General features: G+C 39.4%; 1 protein-coding gene across 5 annotated transcripts in view; it reads left to right on the top strand.

Annotated features, from left to right (window-relative positions):
- Positions 1 to 13,736, top strand: part of MS4A13 (membrane spanning 4-domains A13) — a 28,033-nt gene extending 14,297 nt beyond the window's left edge. For 3 of the 5 annotated variants that reach the window (NM_001012417.3, NM_001100909.2, NM_001278320.2), the window contains one exon: positions 12,831 to 13,033. In NM_001012417.3, coding sequence (NP_001012417.2) covers positions 12,831 to 12,887 — 57 coding nt within the window. In that variant the 3' untranslated portion in view covers positions 12,888 to 13,033. Of the gene's footprint in view, positions 1 to 12,830; positions 13,034 to 13,676 lie in introns of those variants that run through there. The other 2 variants (XM_047427040.1, XM_047427041.1) reach the window with 1 other exon arrangement.
- The last annotated feature ends 2,834 nt before the right edge of the window (positions 13,737 to 16,570 follow it).

Here is a 16,570-nt window from a genome sequence, read left to right on the forward strand (position 1 = left end):
TTTCTTTAATATAGTTCTCATCGTATCCACACATCCAATTCTATACAAAAAAAGACGAATACACACACATTCTCTTTACTAATTGTATGTATTATATTCACATTATTTTGTCACATTCATTTTTTGCAATGATTAGAAATATCTTTCCATTACAAAACATATCTAAATAATGCCTTTTATTGCCTTCATTGTTTTTCTTAGTATTTAGCATTCCCTAATTACTGCATATGTAGCTTGGTTTCCAGTTTTTTCTAAATTATAAACAATGATGCAGTGAACATTTGAGTATAAATATTTTTGCATACAGGACCACTAATTCTTTAGGTGTTTGATTCCTAGAAATGTCATTGCAGGATCAAGTGTAACAACATCCCAAAATGCTATAACAACTCACAAAAGTTTATGAGAATGATTATTTTCTCACAAGCTTAAAAGACTACATATCTAACATTCATTCATTCTTTCTCAAATATTTACGGAGAGCATGCTATTTGCTAGGCATTGTCATAGGCACTAAGGATGCAATGATTAACAAAACAATGGCCTCTCCATTAGGGAGTTTGCATTCCACTGGGGGAGAAAGGCAATAAACAAACACATAAAATTATAAAATGTCAAGAACTGAAAAATGTTATGAAGTAAAATAAAGCAAACTAAGGAGATAAGGCAAGATTATTTTATGTAGGATGGTCAAGGAAGACTACTATGATCAACAACTGATTGAAATACAGAAACAACTATAAGACTACATGGTAAAAGGATTTCTGAAGAGAGGGAATGAGTTGCATTTCCAGAATGGCTGATTGAGGACATGGTAACTCTCCCTAAAAATGAAATTATAAAACTGAACAAAATTGTCAATGAACAACCTTCTAAAGATTCAGGAAGTTGACCAAGCATACAAGAACTTGAGAAGTGTTTATTTAAGAAAATCTACTGGACCTCAGTAAGAACAGTGCATGTCTGTGGCATGTTAGCTTGGGACTGTTCCCACTCTTCCCACCTGATATGGTTAGGCTTTGTGTCCCCACCCAAATCTCATCTTGAATTGTAATCCCCAGGTTTTGAGGGAGGAACCTGATGGGAGGAAACTGGATCATGGGGGCAGTTTTCCCCATGCTATTCTCATGATAGTGAGTGAGTTCTCATGAGATCTGATAGTTTTATAAGTGTTTAGCAAGTTCCTCATTCACTCAGTCTTCTTTCTCCTGCTGCCATGTGAAAAAGGTCCTTGCTTCCCCTTTGCCTTACGCCATCATTGTAAGTTTCCTGAGGTCTCCCAAGCCATGTGGAACTGTAAGTCAATTAAACCTCTTTCCTTTATAAATTACCCAGTCTTGACAAGTTTGTTATAGCAGTGTGAAAACAGACTAATATACTACCCCACCCTCAGATTCCGTTACGCAGAAGTTTACCTTGGTGGGTCAGACTGTGAGGCCCAGCAGCCTCATTGCTTGAGATGACTAGTTTTATTTGGAACAGAGCTCAGAAAGTTCCAAGACCAAAAGCGTTATTAAAACAACAGTAATCCCAGTGACAAACAAGCAGATAAGGCCAAGGTCACTCCTAGCCTGACTAAGATCACAATACTTGTTGGGGCAAAAAATTTACTAGCAACCAACCAGAAACTCAACAGAGAAATTTGAAGAACAGGACAGCCACAGTGGACCTTGATAACTTCCTACTTTTCCCCTGTAGTCTGGAAGAATATAAATATGTGCAAAGCTATACACATACTAAGGAGACAGGAGAAGGTCCTAGTGAGCCCTTGGTTGAACAAGAGGCCTTGCAAAAATAAAGTAAAAGCTGGGGCAACCTCAACTTTGAATATATTGCTCAAGCTACACTGATTCATTGGGAAAGGGTAGAAGTCTTACTGGCTCAAGGTGTCTAATACTTTCCTAGAGCTTCTATAACAAAGCACCACAGACTGTAGCTTAAACAACAAACTTATTTTCTTACAATTCCAGAGGCTAGAAGTTCAAGATCAAGGTGTTGGCAGGGTTAGTTTCTTCTGAGGCATCTCTCTTTGGCTTTCACTTGGCTGTCTTCTCCCTGTGTTTTCACATGGTCTTCTCTTTATTTGTCTGTGTCCTAGTCTCTTCTAAGCTCACCAGTCATATTAGATTAGGGCTCATTCTAATTACCTTATTATAACTTCATTGCCAGTTAAAAGACCCTATTTCCAAATACAGTCACATTCCAAGGTACTGGGAGTTAGGACTTCCAGTATTCCAAGATACTAACCACTGGTATTGCTAACCACCACTCCTGGGAAATGAGGCAATCAGAATCTAAAATTGCTACCATATATTATCTAAAATGTCCAGTTTTCAACAACAAAAAGTATGCAAATAATAATAGTTACCCATAGGGTTCAAAACAACACTTAATAGACATAGCGTCTTTGAGCAAGGGAAGAATAAATGTTGGACTTAACAAAGAAAGGCTTCAAAAATTAGTAAAGTAGGTTGGAGGAGCCAAGATGGCCGAATAGGAACAGCTCCGGTCTACAGCTCCCAGCATGAGCGACGCAGAAGACGGGTGATTTCTGCATTTCCATCTGAGGTACCAGGTTCATCTCACTAGGGAGTGCCAGACAGTGGGCGCAGGCCAGTGTGTGCACGCACCGTGCGCGAGCCGAAGCAGGGCGAGGCATTGCCTCACCTGGGAAGCTCAAGGGGTCAGGGAGTTCCCTTTCCGAGTCAAAGAAAGGGGTGACGGACGCACCTGGAAAATCGGGTCACTCCCACCCGAATATTGCGCTTTTCAGACCGGCTCAAAAAACGGCGCACCAGGAGACTATATCCCACACCTGGCTCAGAGGGTCCTACGCCCACGGAATCTCGCTGATTGCTAGCACAGCAGTCTCAGATCAAACTGCGAGGTGGCAGCGAGGTTGGGGGAGGGGCGCCCGCCATTGCGCAGGCTTGCTTAGGTAAACAAAGCAGCCTGGAAGCTCGAACTGGGTGGAGCCCACCACAGCTCAAGGAGGCCTGCCTGCCTCTGTAGGCTCCACCTCTGGGGGCAGGGCACAGACAAACAAAAAGACAGCAGTAACCTCTGCAGACTTAAGTGTCCCTGTCTGACAGCTTTGAAGAGAGCAGTGGTTCTCCCAGCACGCAGCTGGAGATCTGAGAACGGGCAGACTGCCTCCTCAAGTGGGTCCCTGACCCCTGACCCCCGAGCAGCCTAACTGGGAGGCACCCCCCAGCAGGGGCACACTGACACCTCACACGGCAGGGTATTCCAACAGACCTGCAGCTGAGGGTCCTGTCTGTTAGAAGGAAAACTAACAACCAGAAAGGACATCTACACCAAAAACCCATCTGTACATCACCATCATCAAAGACCAAAAGTAGATAAAACCACAAAGATGGGGAAAAAACAGAACAGAAAAACTGGAAACTCTAAAACGCAGAGCGCCTCTCCTCCTCCAAAGGAACACAGTTCCTCACCAGCAACGGAACAAAGCTGGATGGAGAATGATTTTGACGAGCTGAGAGAAGAAGGCTTCAGACGATCAAATTACTCTGAGCTACGGGAGGACATTCAAACCAAAGGCAAAAAAGTTGAAAACTTCGAAAAAAATTTAGAAGAATGTATAACTAGAATAACCAATACAGAGAAGTGCTTAAAGGAGCTGATGGAGCTGAAAACCAAGGCTCAAGAACTACGTGAAGAATGCAGAAGCCTCAGGAGCCGATGCAATCAACTGGAAGAAAGGGTATCAGCAATGGAAGATGAAATGAATGAAATGAAGCGAGAAGGGAAGTTTAGAGAAAAAAGAATAAAAAGAAATGAGCAAAGCCTCCAAGAAATATGGGACTATGTGAAAAGACCAAATCTACGTCTGATTGGTGTACCTAAAAGTGATGGGGAGAATGGAACCAAGTTGGAAAACACTCTGCAGGATATTATCCAGGAGAACTTCCCCAATCTAGCAAGGCAGGCCAACGTTCAGATTCAGGAAATACAGAGAACGCCACAAAGATACTCCTCGAGAAGAGCAACTCCAAGACACATAATTGTCAGATTCACCAAAGTTGAAATGAAGGAAAAAATGTTAAGGGCAGCCAGAGAGAAAGGTCGGGTTACCCTCAAAGGAAAGCCCATCAGACTAACAGTGGATCTCTCGGCAGAAACCCTACAAGCCAGAAGAGAGTGGGGGCCAATATTCAACATTCTGAAAGAAAAGAATTTTCAACCCAGAATTTCATATCCAGCCAAACTAAGCTTCATAAGTGAAGGAGAAATAAAATACTTTATAGACAAGCAAATGCTGAGAGATTTTGTCACCACCAGGCCTGCCCTAAAAGAGCTCCTGAAGGAAGCGCTAAACATGGAAAGGAACAACCGGTACCAGCCGCTGCAAAATCATGCCAAAATGTAAAGACCATCGAGACTAGGAAGAAACTGCATCAACTAATGAGCAAAATCACCAGCTAACATCATAATGACAGGATCAAATTCACACATAACAATATTAACTTTAAATATAAATGGACTAAATTCTGCAATTAAAAGACACAGACTGGCAAGTTGGATAAAGAGTCAAGACCCATCAGTGTGCTGTATTCAGGAAACCCATCTCACGTGCAGAGACACACATAGGCTCAAAATAAAAGGATGGAGGAAGATCTACCAAGCCAATGGAAAACAAAAAAAGGCAGGGGTTGCAATCCTAGTCTCTGATAAAACAGACTTTAAACCAACAAAGATCAAAAGAGACAAAGAAGGCCATTACATAATGGTAAAGGGATCAATTCAACAAGAGGAGCTAACTATCCTAAATATTTATGCACCCAATACAGGAGCACCCAGATTCATAAAGCAAGTCCTGAGTGACCTACAAAGAGACTTAGACTCCCACACATTAATAATGGGAGACTTTAACACCCCACTGTCAACATTAGACAGATCAACGAGACAGAAAGTCAACAAGGATACCCAGGAATTGAACTCAGCTCTGCACCAAGCGGACCTAATAGACATCTACAGAACTCTACACCCCAAATCAACAGAATATACATTTTTTTCAGCACCACACCACACCTATTCCAAAATTGACCACATAGTTGGAAGTAAAGCTCTCCTCAGCAAATGTAAAAGAACAGAAATTATAACAAACTATCTCTCAGACCACAGTGCAATCAAACTAGAACTCAGGATTAAGAATCTCACTCAAAGCCGCTCAACTACATGGAAACTGAACAACCTGCTCCTGAATGACTACTGGGTACATAACGAAATGAAGGCAGAAATAAAGGTGTTCTTTGAAACCAACGAGAACAAAGACACCACATACCAGAATCTCTGGGACGCATTCAAAGCAGTGTGTAGAGGGAAATTTATAGCACTAAATGCCTACAAGAGAAAGCAGGAAAGATCCAAAATTGACACCCTAACATCACAATTAAAAGAACTAGAAAAGCAAGAGCAAACACATTCAAAAGCTAGCAGAAGGCAAGAAATAACCAAAATCAGAGCAGAACTGAAGGAAATAGAGACACAAAAAACCCTTCAAAAAATCAATGAATCCAGGAGCTGGTTTTTTGAAAGGATCAACAAAATTGATAGACCGCTAGCAAGACTAATAAAGAAAAAAAGAGAGAAGAATCAAATAGACACAATAAAAAATGATAAAGGGGATATCACCACCAATCCCACAGAAATACAAACTACCATCAGAGAATACTACAAACACCTCTACGCAAATAAACTAGAAAATCTAGAAGAAATGGATACATTCCTCGACACATACACTCTGCCAAGACTAAACCAGGAAGAAGTAGAATCTCTGAATAGACCAATAACAGGCTCTGAAATTGTGGCAATAATCAATAGTTTACCAACCAAAAAGAGTCCAGGACCAGATGGATTCACAGCCGAATTCTACCAGAGGTACAAGGAGGAACTGGTACCATTCCTTCTGAAACTATTCCAATCAATAGAAAAAGAGGGAATCCTCCCTAACTCATTTTATGAGGCCAGCATCATTCTGATACCAAAGCCGGGCAGAGACACAACCAAAAAAGAGAATTTTAGACCAATATCCTTGATGAACATTGATGCAAAAATCCTCAATAAAATACTGGCAAACCGAATCCAGCAGCACATCAAAAAGCTTATCCACCATGATCAAGTGGGCTTCATCCCTGGGATGCAAGGCTGGTTCAATATACGCAAATCAATAAATGTAATCCAGCATATAAACAGAGCCAAAGACAAAAACCACATGATTATCTCAATAGATGCAGAAAAACCCTTTGACAAAATTCAACAACCCTTCATGCTAAAAACTCTCAATAAATTAGGTATTGATGGGACGTATTTCAAAATAATAAGAGCTATCTATGACAAACCCACAGCCAATATCATACTGAATGGGCAAAAACTGGAAGCATTCCCTTTGAAAACTGGCACAAGACAGGGATGCCCTCTCTCACCGCTCCTATTCAACATAGTGTTGGAAGTTCTGGCCAGGGCAATCAGGCAGGAGAAGGAAATAAAGGGTATTCAATTAGGAAAAGAGGAAGTCAAATTGTCCCTGTTTGCAGATGACATGATTGTTTATCTAGAAAACCCCATCGTCTCAGCCCAAAATCTCCTTAAGCTGATAAGCAACTTCAGCAAAGTCTCAGGATACAAAATCAATGTACAAAAATCACAAGCATTCTTATACACCAATAACAGACAAACAGAGAGCCAAATCATGAGTGAAATCACATTCACAATTGCTTCAAAGAGAATAAAATACCTAGGAATCCAACTTACAAGGGATGTGAAGGACCTCTTCAAGGAGAACTACAAACCACTGCTCAAGGAAATAAAAGAGGACACAAACAAATGGAAGAACATTCCATGCTCATGGGTAGGAAGAATCAATATCGTGAAAATGGCCATACTGCCCAAGGTAATTTACAGATTCAATGCCATCCCCATCAAGCTACCAATGACTTTCTTCACAGAATTGGAAAAAACTACTTTAAAGTTCATATGGAACCAAAAAAGAGCCCGCATTGCCAAGTCAATCCTAAGCCAAAAGAACAAAGCTGGAGGCATCACACTACCTGACTTCAAACTATACTACAAGGCTACAGTCACCAAAACAGCATGGTACTGGTACCAAAACAGAGATATAGATCAATGGAACAGAACAGAGCCCTCAGAAATAATGCCGCATATCTACAACTATCTGATCTTTGACAAACCTGACAAAAACAAGCAATGGGGAAAGGATTCCCTATTTAATAAATGGTGCTGGGATAACTGGCTAGCCATATGTAGAAAGCTGAAACTGGATCCCTTCCTTACACCTTATACAAAAATCAATTCAAGATGGATTAAAGATTTAAACGTTAGACCTAAAACCATAAAAACCCTAGAAGAAAACCTAGGCATTACCATTCAGGACATAGGCGTGGGCAAGGACTTCATGTCCAAAACACCAAAAGCAATGGCAACAAAAGCCAAAATTGACAAATGGGATCTAATTAAACTAAAGAGCTTCTGCACAGCAAAAGAAACTACCATCAGAGTGAACAGGCAACCTACAACATGGGAGAAAATTTTCGCAACCTACTCATCTGACAAAGGGCTAATATCCAGAATCTACAATGAACTCAAACAAATTTACAAGAAAAAAACAAACAACCCCATCAAAAAGTGGGCGAAGGACATGAACAGACACTTCTCAAAAGAAGACATTTATGCAGCCAAAAAACACATGAAAAAATGCTCATCATCACTGGCCATCAGAGAAATGCAAATCAAAACCACTATGAGATATCATCTCACACCAGTTAGAATGGCAATCATTAAAAAGTCAGGAAACAACAGGTGCTGGAGAGGATGTGGAGAAATAGAAACACTTTTACACTGTTGGTGGGACTGTAAACTAGTTCAACCATTGTGGAAGTCAGTGTGGCGATTCCTCAGGGATCTAGAACTAGAAATACCATTTGACCCAGCCATCCCATTACTGGGTATATACCCAAAGGACTATAAATCATGCTGCTATAAAGACACATGCACACGTATGTTTATTGCGGCATTATTCACAATAGCAAAGACTTGGAACCAACCCAAATGTCCAACAATGATAGACTGGATTAAGAAAATGTGGCACATATACACCATGGAATACTATGCAGCCATAAAAAATGATGAGTTCATGTCCTTTGTAGGGACATGGATGAAATTGGAAACTATCATTCTCAGTAAACTATCGCAAGAACAAAAAACCAAACACCGCATATTCTCACTCATAGGTGGGAATTGAACAATGAGATCACATGGACACAGGAAGGGGAATATCACACTCTGGGGACTGTGGTGGGGTCGGGGGAGGGGGGAGGGATGGCATTGGGAGATATACCTAATGCTGGATGACACGTTGGTGGGTGCAGCGCACCAGCATGGCACATGTATACATATGTAACTAACCTGCACAATGTGCACATGTACCCTAAAACTTAAAGTATAATAAAAAAAAAAAAAACGAAAAAAAAAAACAAAGTTGAACTCATAGAAGCAGAAGGTAGAATGATGAATACCAGAGGCTGGGGGCCGATGGGGCATAGATGAGGCAAAAAGGTGTTGATCAAAGGCCATACAGTTTTCGTTAGACAGGAGGAGTAAGCTTTAGGGATCAATTACGTAGACTGGGGACTATAATAACTAATCATGCACTGGATATTCCAAAACTACCAAAAGAGTTGATTTTAAATGTTTTCATCACAAAGAAAAGTAGTAAGTATATGAGGTTATGAATTTGTTAATTAGCCTGATTTAATCATTCCACCCTGTAAACATATCAAAACATCACATTGTACCCCATAAATATATCTGCAATGATTATGTCAATTAAAAATAAAATTTTAAGAAATAAAAATAAAAAAAAAAATTGCAGGGACAGTACAGAAATTTTTTTCCCTGAATTATTTGAAGGTAAGTTGCCAGCCTGGTGTCCCATCTATCCTATGAGAGGCAGAATTTTAAGATAATCCCTATGACTTTCACTTCCTGGGGTTACTCCTATCACTATGTTACATGACACAGCAAAAAGGAAATTATCTGGGTAGGCCTAATCTAAGCCCCTAAGCTCTTTAAAAGGAGAAAGTTTTATCTGGCTGATGGCAGAAAGGGAAGTCAGAGAGATTTGAATCATGATAAGGGTTGAATGCATCTCCATTGCTGGCCTTGAAGGTGGAGGGGGCCACATGCAAGGACCAGAAAGAAGCCTCTAGGAGCTGAGAGCAGCTGCCTGTCAAAAACCAGCAAAGAAATGGAGCCATCAGTTCTACAACTGCAAGGAACTGAGTTCTGCAAACAACCTGAATGATCTTAGAAGGGGATTCTTCTCCTGGCCCTCCAGATAATAGCCCAGGACAGCCAACAACTTGATTTCAGTCTTGGGAGACCCTAAGCAGAAAACCAGCTGAGGCTACCCAGAATACTGACTTGCAGAACTATGAGTTAATAAATGAGTGTTGTTTCAAAAAAAAAAAAAAAAAAATTTAGTAAAGTAAATATGTTTGAAGAATTATAAGATGGCAACAATGATTCATCAAATAAAAGTCAATAAAAGAGACAGAAATTATGAAAAACCCAATGGAGGTTCTAGAGTTTAAAAATACAAGAACTGAAATGAAAAACCACTAGAGGAACTCAAGAACAGAGGTGAGCTGACAAAAAACAAAATAAACAGACATAAAGAGAGCAAAAAAGATATTGCCCAGTCCGAAGAACAGGAAAAAAAGAAAATGAAGAAAACTGTACAGAACCTCAAAATCCTTTGAGATACCATCACATGTATAATGGGAGTCCCATAAAAATGGGGAGTACCAGAAAAAAAATTAAAGAAATAATGGCTCCCAAATTCCCCTAATTTCATGGAAAACATTCAATACATCCAAAAAGCTCAAGGATCTTCAAGTAAAATAAACACAAAGAGATCCTCCTAGACACCTCCATGTCAAACTGATAAAAAAGAAAATCTTGAAAGCAGCAAAAAAAAATAAAAACAAGACTCTTCATATATAAGGGAACCACAATAATATAAACAGCTGGGTTCTCATCCAAAACAATGGAGGCCTGAAGGTAGTGGAATGGGATATTAAAGTGCAGGGGGAAAAACAGTCAGGCAGGAATTCTTTATCCTTTAAAACTATCCCTCAAAAATGAAGGTGAAATACAGACATACACAGATGAATAATGTGTTGCTAGCAGAAATTCCTCATGAGAAACACTAAAGGAAGTTCTTTAGACTGAAGTGACATCAGATGAAACTCAAATGCACATGAATAAATAAAAAAAGTGCCAGTAAAAGTAATTATGTAGGTGGTTATGAAAATCAGTATAAATACATCTTTTGTGTTTTCTTCTGTTAACTGATTTAAAAGACAGTAGCATTAATTGCATTGGGCTCACCCAGGTAATCCAGGATGATTACCTTAATTTAAGGTCGTGTTATTAGTAACATTAATTCCATCTGTCATAACTACTCAGCTCCACCTTTTAGCATGAAAGTATTCATAGACAATACATAAAGGAATGGATATGGCTTGTTCCAGCAAAACTTTATTTGCAAAAACGGGAGTGGGCTAGATTTGGTCCATGTATCATAGCTTGCCAACCCTTCTTCAATAGACAGTTTCTCAATTTTTCTCTTAAATTTTAAAAGATAAGATTATAAAAGCAGTAATTATAACACCATATTGGTAGTTACATAATATATATAGATAGAATAGATGACAATAATAGCACAAAGAAAAGGAAAGGGAATGAGTTATATGGGAATAAAGTTGCTGTATTTTACTGGAATTGAATTAGCATTCATCTGAAGTAGACTGTGATAAATTAGGGTGCTTATTTAGTGATTAAGCAAGCTAAAAATATAATAGCTTAAAAACAAGGGAATTAACATACACAAAGTATGTTTAATTTTTAAAAAATAAAGAAAGAACACAATGGCCAGGCTTGGTTGGTTAACACCCATATTCCCAGCATTTTGGGAGGCCAACTCGGGAAGACCATATGAGCCCAGGAGTTCAAGACCAGCCTGGGCAACATGACGAGACCTCATCTCTACAAAAAAGTAAAAATAAAAACACTAGCTATGCATAGTGCCACATGCCTGTGGTCCCAGCTACTTAGGCAGCTGAGGTGGGAGGATCACTTGGAACCCAGGAGGTCAAGGCTGCAATGAGCCATATTCAGGCCACCGTACCCCAGTGTGGGTGACAGAGTAAAACCCTATCTCACAAAAAAAAAAAAAAAGGAAAGGAAAAGAAAACACATGAGACGTGTATAAAACAAATAATAAAATGTCAGATATAAATCTATTCATTGTAATAATAACATTAAAATGACAGAGATATTTTAAAGTACCTACTGGAATGACTGAATTTCAAACTATTGACAATGCCAACTGATAGCAAAGATTGTAGATAAAAGAAATATCTCTCAAACTCCTAGTTGAAATATAAGTTATTGCAACAATTTTTAAAACCTTTTGGGCATTACCTACTAAAAATTAAAATGTGCATACCCTATGATCAGTAATTTAAGTCTTTGGTATATAACCAACAGAAATGTTTGCGCTTATGCATTAAGATAAACTTCCAGGAATATATAGAGAGCAGTATTATTCATAGTAGTCCCAAAGTGGAAACAACACAGGTGGGTGAGTGATGAATAAGTTGAGGTGTATTACTTCATTCAAATTTGACATGGTGATTAAAAGCAACTATACCTGCACTTAACATCATGGATGGATCTTACAAATAAAATGTTGAGTATAAAAACTCAAAAGAATGCATACTTGTAAAAAAATCCATTCATATGAAGTTTGAAACCAGGTAAAACTAAAGCTAACCTATAGTGTTTAGGGATGAAGCTTAGTTCATGAAACTAGAAAAAAAATTGACCTTATCTAAAAGTCAAAATGACCATTACCTTGAAGGGAAGGAATAGGTAATGGTTGAGAAATGTCATGAGAGGCTAGGGTGCTGGCATCTATTAAGATTTATGTTCAAGAAGACTATGGTTATTTTTATTATAAAAGTTTGAAGGTACACCAAAAGATACAAGTGATCCAACAGAAATTAAGAAAGTAGGTTGAAGGCTGGGCATGGTGGCTCACACCTGTAATCATAACACTTTGGGAGTCTGAAGCAGGAGGATCACTTGAGGCCAGGAGTTCAAGATCAGCTTGGTCAACATGGTGAAACCCCGTCTCTACTAAAAATACAAAAAAATTAGCCAGGCATGGTGGCACAGGCCTGTAATCCTAACTACTCGGGTGGCTGGGGCATGAGAATCTCTTGAGTCTGAACCTGAAAGAGAGGTGGTTGCAGTGAGCCGAGATCGCACCACTGCACTCCAGCCTGGGCGACATGACCTTGAAAACAGAACAAGACCTTGAAAAAAAAAAAAAACCCAAGGAAGGAAGGAATGTAGGAAGGAAAAAGAGAGAGAGAGAAAGAAAGAAGAAAGGGAAGAAAGGGAGGAAGGGAGGAAGGAAAGAAAGAAAGGAAGGAAGGAAGGAGAAAGAAAAAGAGAAAGAAAGAAAGAAAAAGGAAAGAAAGAAAGAGAAAGAAAGAAGAAAGGGAGGAAGGGAGGAAGGGAAGAAAGAAAGAAAGAGAAAGAGAAAGAAAGGAAGAAAGAAATAAGGTTGAAATAGGAATGGGACAGAAATAGGATACTTTAAGATTTCACTCTATAAATATCAGTATTACCTGTATTTTTTAAGAAAAAGATCTATTTATTAGTTGTATAATATTAAGAAACATGATATGATTTGTAAGAGGTTACTTTTTTTCCAGTTTCGAAGACAAAATGATCTTACATCTGTTACTGAGGAAGCTGAGAGCACTCCTTAAAAACCCTAGAAATATGAGAATTTTGCTGTTGCTGATGCCTGGTGTGGGTCCTAATGATATCTCTGTATAACAAAGCAGTTACGAAGCCTACAGATTTTGTGCAAAATAAAATACAAACAAGGTGAATTTTTCTCCTCATTCAAAAATGTCTCTGCTTATATTTTTCTAGGCTGCAAGGAAAGTTTTTCCCTATTTAAATATGAGATTATTACAGGATGAATGTGTTATCTAGGTACGCTGAATAGCTGTCAACTCTCCATAATAAAGCTTTTGTAAGAGACTGTAAAAAAGATTCATTATTATCTCTAGAGTGAAGGCTATAAAGACTTGGGCCATGATGTCGTATAATTCACAGGAAAACTTTAAATACTTATGTCCATACAAGCAGAAAGCACATTTTACAGTCTGAGTTCTTCTACTTTAACTAGCTTCTATCAAAGTATGAATCAAAAGGCCTCTAATTCATATTTCCTTCATTGTTCTTTGACTTCTCTTCTCCTTATTTAAAGTTCCTTTCTGCCCTGAACATATCTGCTATCTTTCTTATCTTTCTTTCCCCTTGCTTCTTTCTTCTTATCATTGTTTGGATCACCTGTTCAACTGCTTTTCAAAGCAGACAGACTGTCCACAATAAGGAGAATTTTCTAGAAATCGGTTCTGAATTCAATTCACCCTCTCTTCTAATATGGAATATTACTTCAGAAAGATGTTTCACTAATTGTTATCTAACACTGCAAACTAAGGTTACTTGATTCTAAGAATTTCAGCACTTATCTCATTTTTTTTCAGATTGTCTACTGTATGCCAATGAATAATATCTTAAGCTCTGGAGTATCAACAATTAATAAGGTACCTGATGACAAGGAGACTTATTTTAGGGGAGGAAACAAACAGCTACCAAGTTAAGACTATGTATGACATATAAACAGAGTATAAAAAAGTAGAAATAAGACAGAAGAAATAATCCTTCAGATGTGAAATAAGAGTAATAAAGCTTTATGAAAGACCCCTGAGCAGGGGATTAGTAGTTTACCAAACAGAAAGGTAGGAAGACATTTTGAATAGAAGACTTTAGGTTATTAGAAATGTGGGAGAGATCACAGCTAAAATAAATATATTAAAATTTAATGACAGGGAGGAGGAAGTCAAGAATGAAAGCTGGAGAGATCGGGGGAGGCCAGATAATAAAGAAGTCAAATCATCAAAGAGTTAATACTAAAGTATTGAACTAAATCTTGCAGACAGTAAGAGGCCATTGGCAAGTAGTTCAACAGGAAAATTATAGGCTTGGATTTACATTGAAAAAAGTATGAAATATGGGAAAATGCATTAGAAAGTATAAATTTGATTAAAGCAACTAGATTGTGGGAGGGAAAAATGGATAATTATTGTAGTGATTCAGAGAAGCAGTGAAAAGTGGTAAGTTTTAGCCTGACTGGCTGATTAAACATGAAGTGTGAAGGAATCTAAAATAATCCCCTAGTTTCTGGATTAGATAAAACCTACAGTGATATAAAGCATATAAGACATAACAGAATTGGAAAAAATGATCAATTCTATTAGGATAAGTTGAGTTTGAGATAACTAGAGAACATCAAAGTAGAGACGTCAATTAAACAGTTGAAAATACAAATCTGGAGACAGAGGAAAGATCAGCTATAAACTGATTGATTTTGATGGTAATTAAAAATATTGAGGGGTGACGTCACCACGATGGCAGACTAGAAAATAACCTAATCATATCTCCCAGAACAACAACAATTCTGTACCCATTCCAAGTCAAAAGTCTCTCTGCAGGAGCCTCGGGATTCAGGTAGCAGTTTGTCAAATACCCAGTGGAGCCCAAGACCCAGGAGAATCATTTTTAGAGTGCAGACCAACACCCGAGTGGCTGATTTGCCAAGATTTCTTGTAGATTCAAGCCCAGTAATGTCCTAGTCCTTGAAGGGGCTTGTTTAAAGTCTCATTTGGCTTTGAGCTTACAACCAAAACCATCTGCCAAGGGTTCTAGAAGGAATCATGCACACCAATGGCTTGGTGGAAAGGCTTGTCTGCCTGCTGACATTGATCTTGGCAGGGACCCTGAAAAGTGCACTGTGGCTCTGCTTCCGCCTTCCTTAGCTGAGATCCCAGCTCAGAGCTACTCACACAAGAACCCCAAAGGGAGACTCACTCATCTCTTGTAACCCGGAAATCTGAGCCTCCGTGATGGGCTTGCCAACCTCTGTCCCACAGCATATCCCAAGGGGGTCCACTCTCAGCTCCAGTGCCTCTCACTGCAGTTGAGAAACTATCCCATCTGTGCTGAGATCTGCTGGGAAATGAGTACCTGTCTGGGCCAACAAGATGGGCTTTCCATCCTACATCACATAGGAGATCCCAAAGGAGCCCAGTCTCAGCTCCAGTCCCTTCTGCTGCAGTCAAGGAACTATCCCATTTTTGCAGGGTCCTCCTGTGAGACATGTGCCCTCTGAGCCAACAAGACTGGGCTCTATAACCTTTATCACACAGCAGATCCTGAGGGGCCCAATCTCAGCTCTGGCCCCTCTCACTGCAGAGGTGAGGAACTATCCTATCTGTGCAGGAACTTGCTGGGTGGCATGTACCCCTCTACACTGAGATTGACCTCCTCATCCTCTGTCTCACTGAAAATCCCAAGTGGGCCCAATCTCAGCTCAAAACTCTCCTGCTACAGTAAGGTAGCTATACCAGCATGCCAGCCTCTGTTTCACAGCAGATCTTGAAGGGGACCAATCTCAGCTCTGGCCCTTCCTGTAGCAGTCAAGAAACTAGCCCACTTGTGCAGGAATCTGCCGGATGATGCATGCTTATCTGAACTGACATGGGCTCACTAGCCTCCTTCTCACAGCAGCTCCCAAAAGGGCCCAGGCCTTTTGCTACTCTTGCTGCACTTGGGGACACAGCCCACCTGTACAGAGACTTGCTAGGAGGTATGTGCCTATCTGGGCCACTGGGACAGTCATTCAGCATTTTCACACAACCCCAGTACCCTTCTTGAGTCTTTCCCAGGTCCATCTGGGTCAGAAAACTGTGTCAACCTTGAAGCCTTCAAGAGGTTCACAGTAAGCCTGGGCTTAGGGTGTCTTATAATGCTGAGACAGCTGCAGTGGTCACAGGCTTTGGGAAAACAACAGTAAGTCAGCTTAGAATCCCTGGAAATCCCTCTAAAGGACAGGCATAAACAAAGCCAGTCTGTGAAGAATGAAATAAATACCTAATCCCTCAATGCAGGGATATTGTCACACTTCCACAAGCATCAATAACATTTAGGGAAATATGACCTCAACAAATGGACAAAATAAGGCAGCAGAGACCAAACTTAAAATGATGGAGATGTGTGATCTCTCATACAAAGAATTCAAAAAAGCTGCTGTAGGGAAGCTCAATGAACTTTAAGGAACATAGAGAATCCATTTAGAAATTTATCATAGAAATTTTAAGAGAGATTGAAATAATTAAAATCAAACAGAAATCCTGAAGGTATAAAATACAATGAATGAAATGAAAAACGCAATAGTGAGCATAAACAGCAGAAGTGATCAAACAGTATAATCAGTGAGCTCAAAGACAGATTATTTGAAAATATACAGTCAGGAGAAAAAAGAATGAAAAAGAATAAAGAAAGCTTACAGGACCTATGAGACAACATTAAAGGAGAACAT

This window comes from Homo sapiens, chromosome 11 (genome assembly GCF_000001405.40).
Source record: "Homo sapiens chromosome 11, GRCh38.p14 Primary Assembly".
In the NCBI taxonomy this organism is placed as follows: Eukaryota; Metazoa; Chordata; class Mammalia; order Primates; family Hominidae; genus Homo; species Homo sapiens.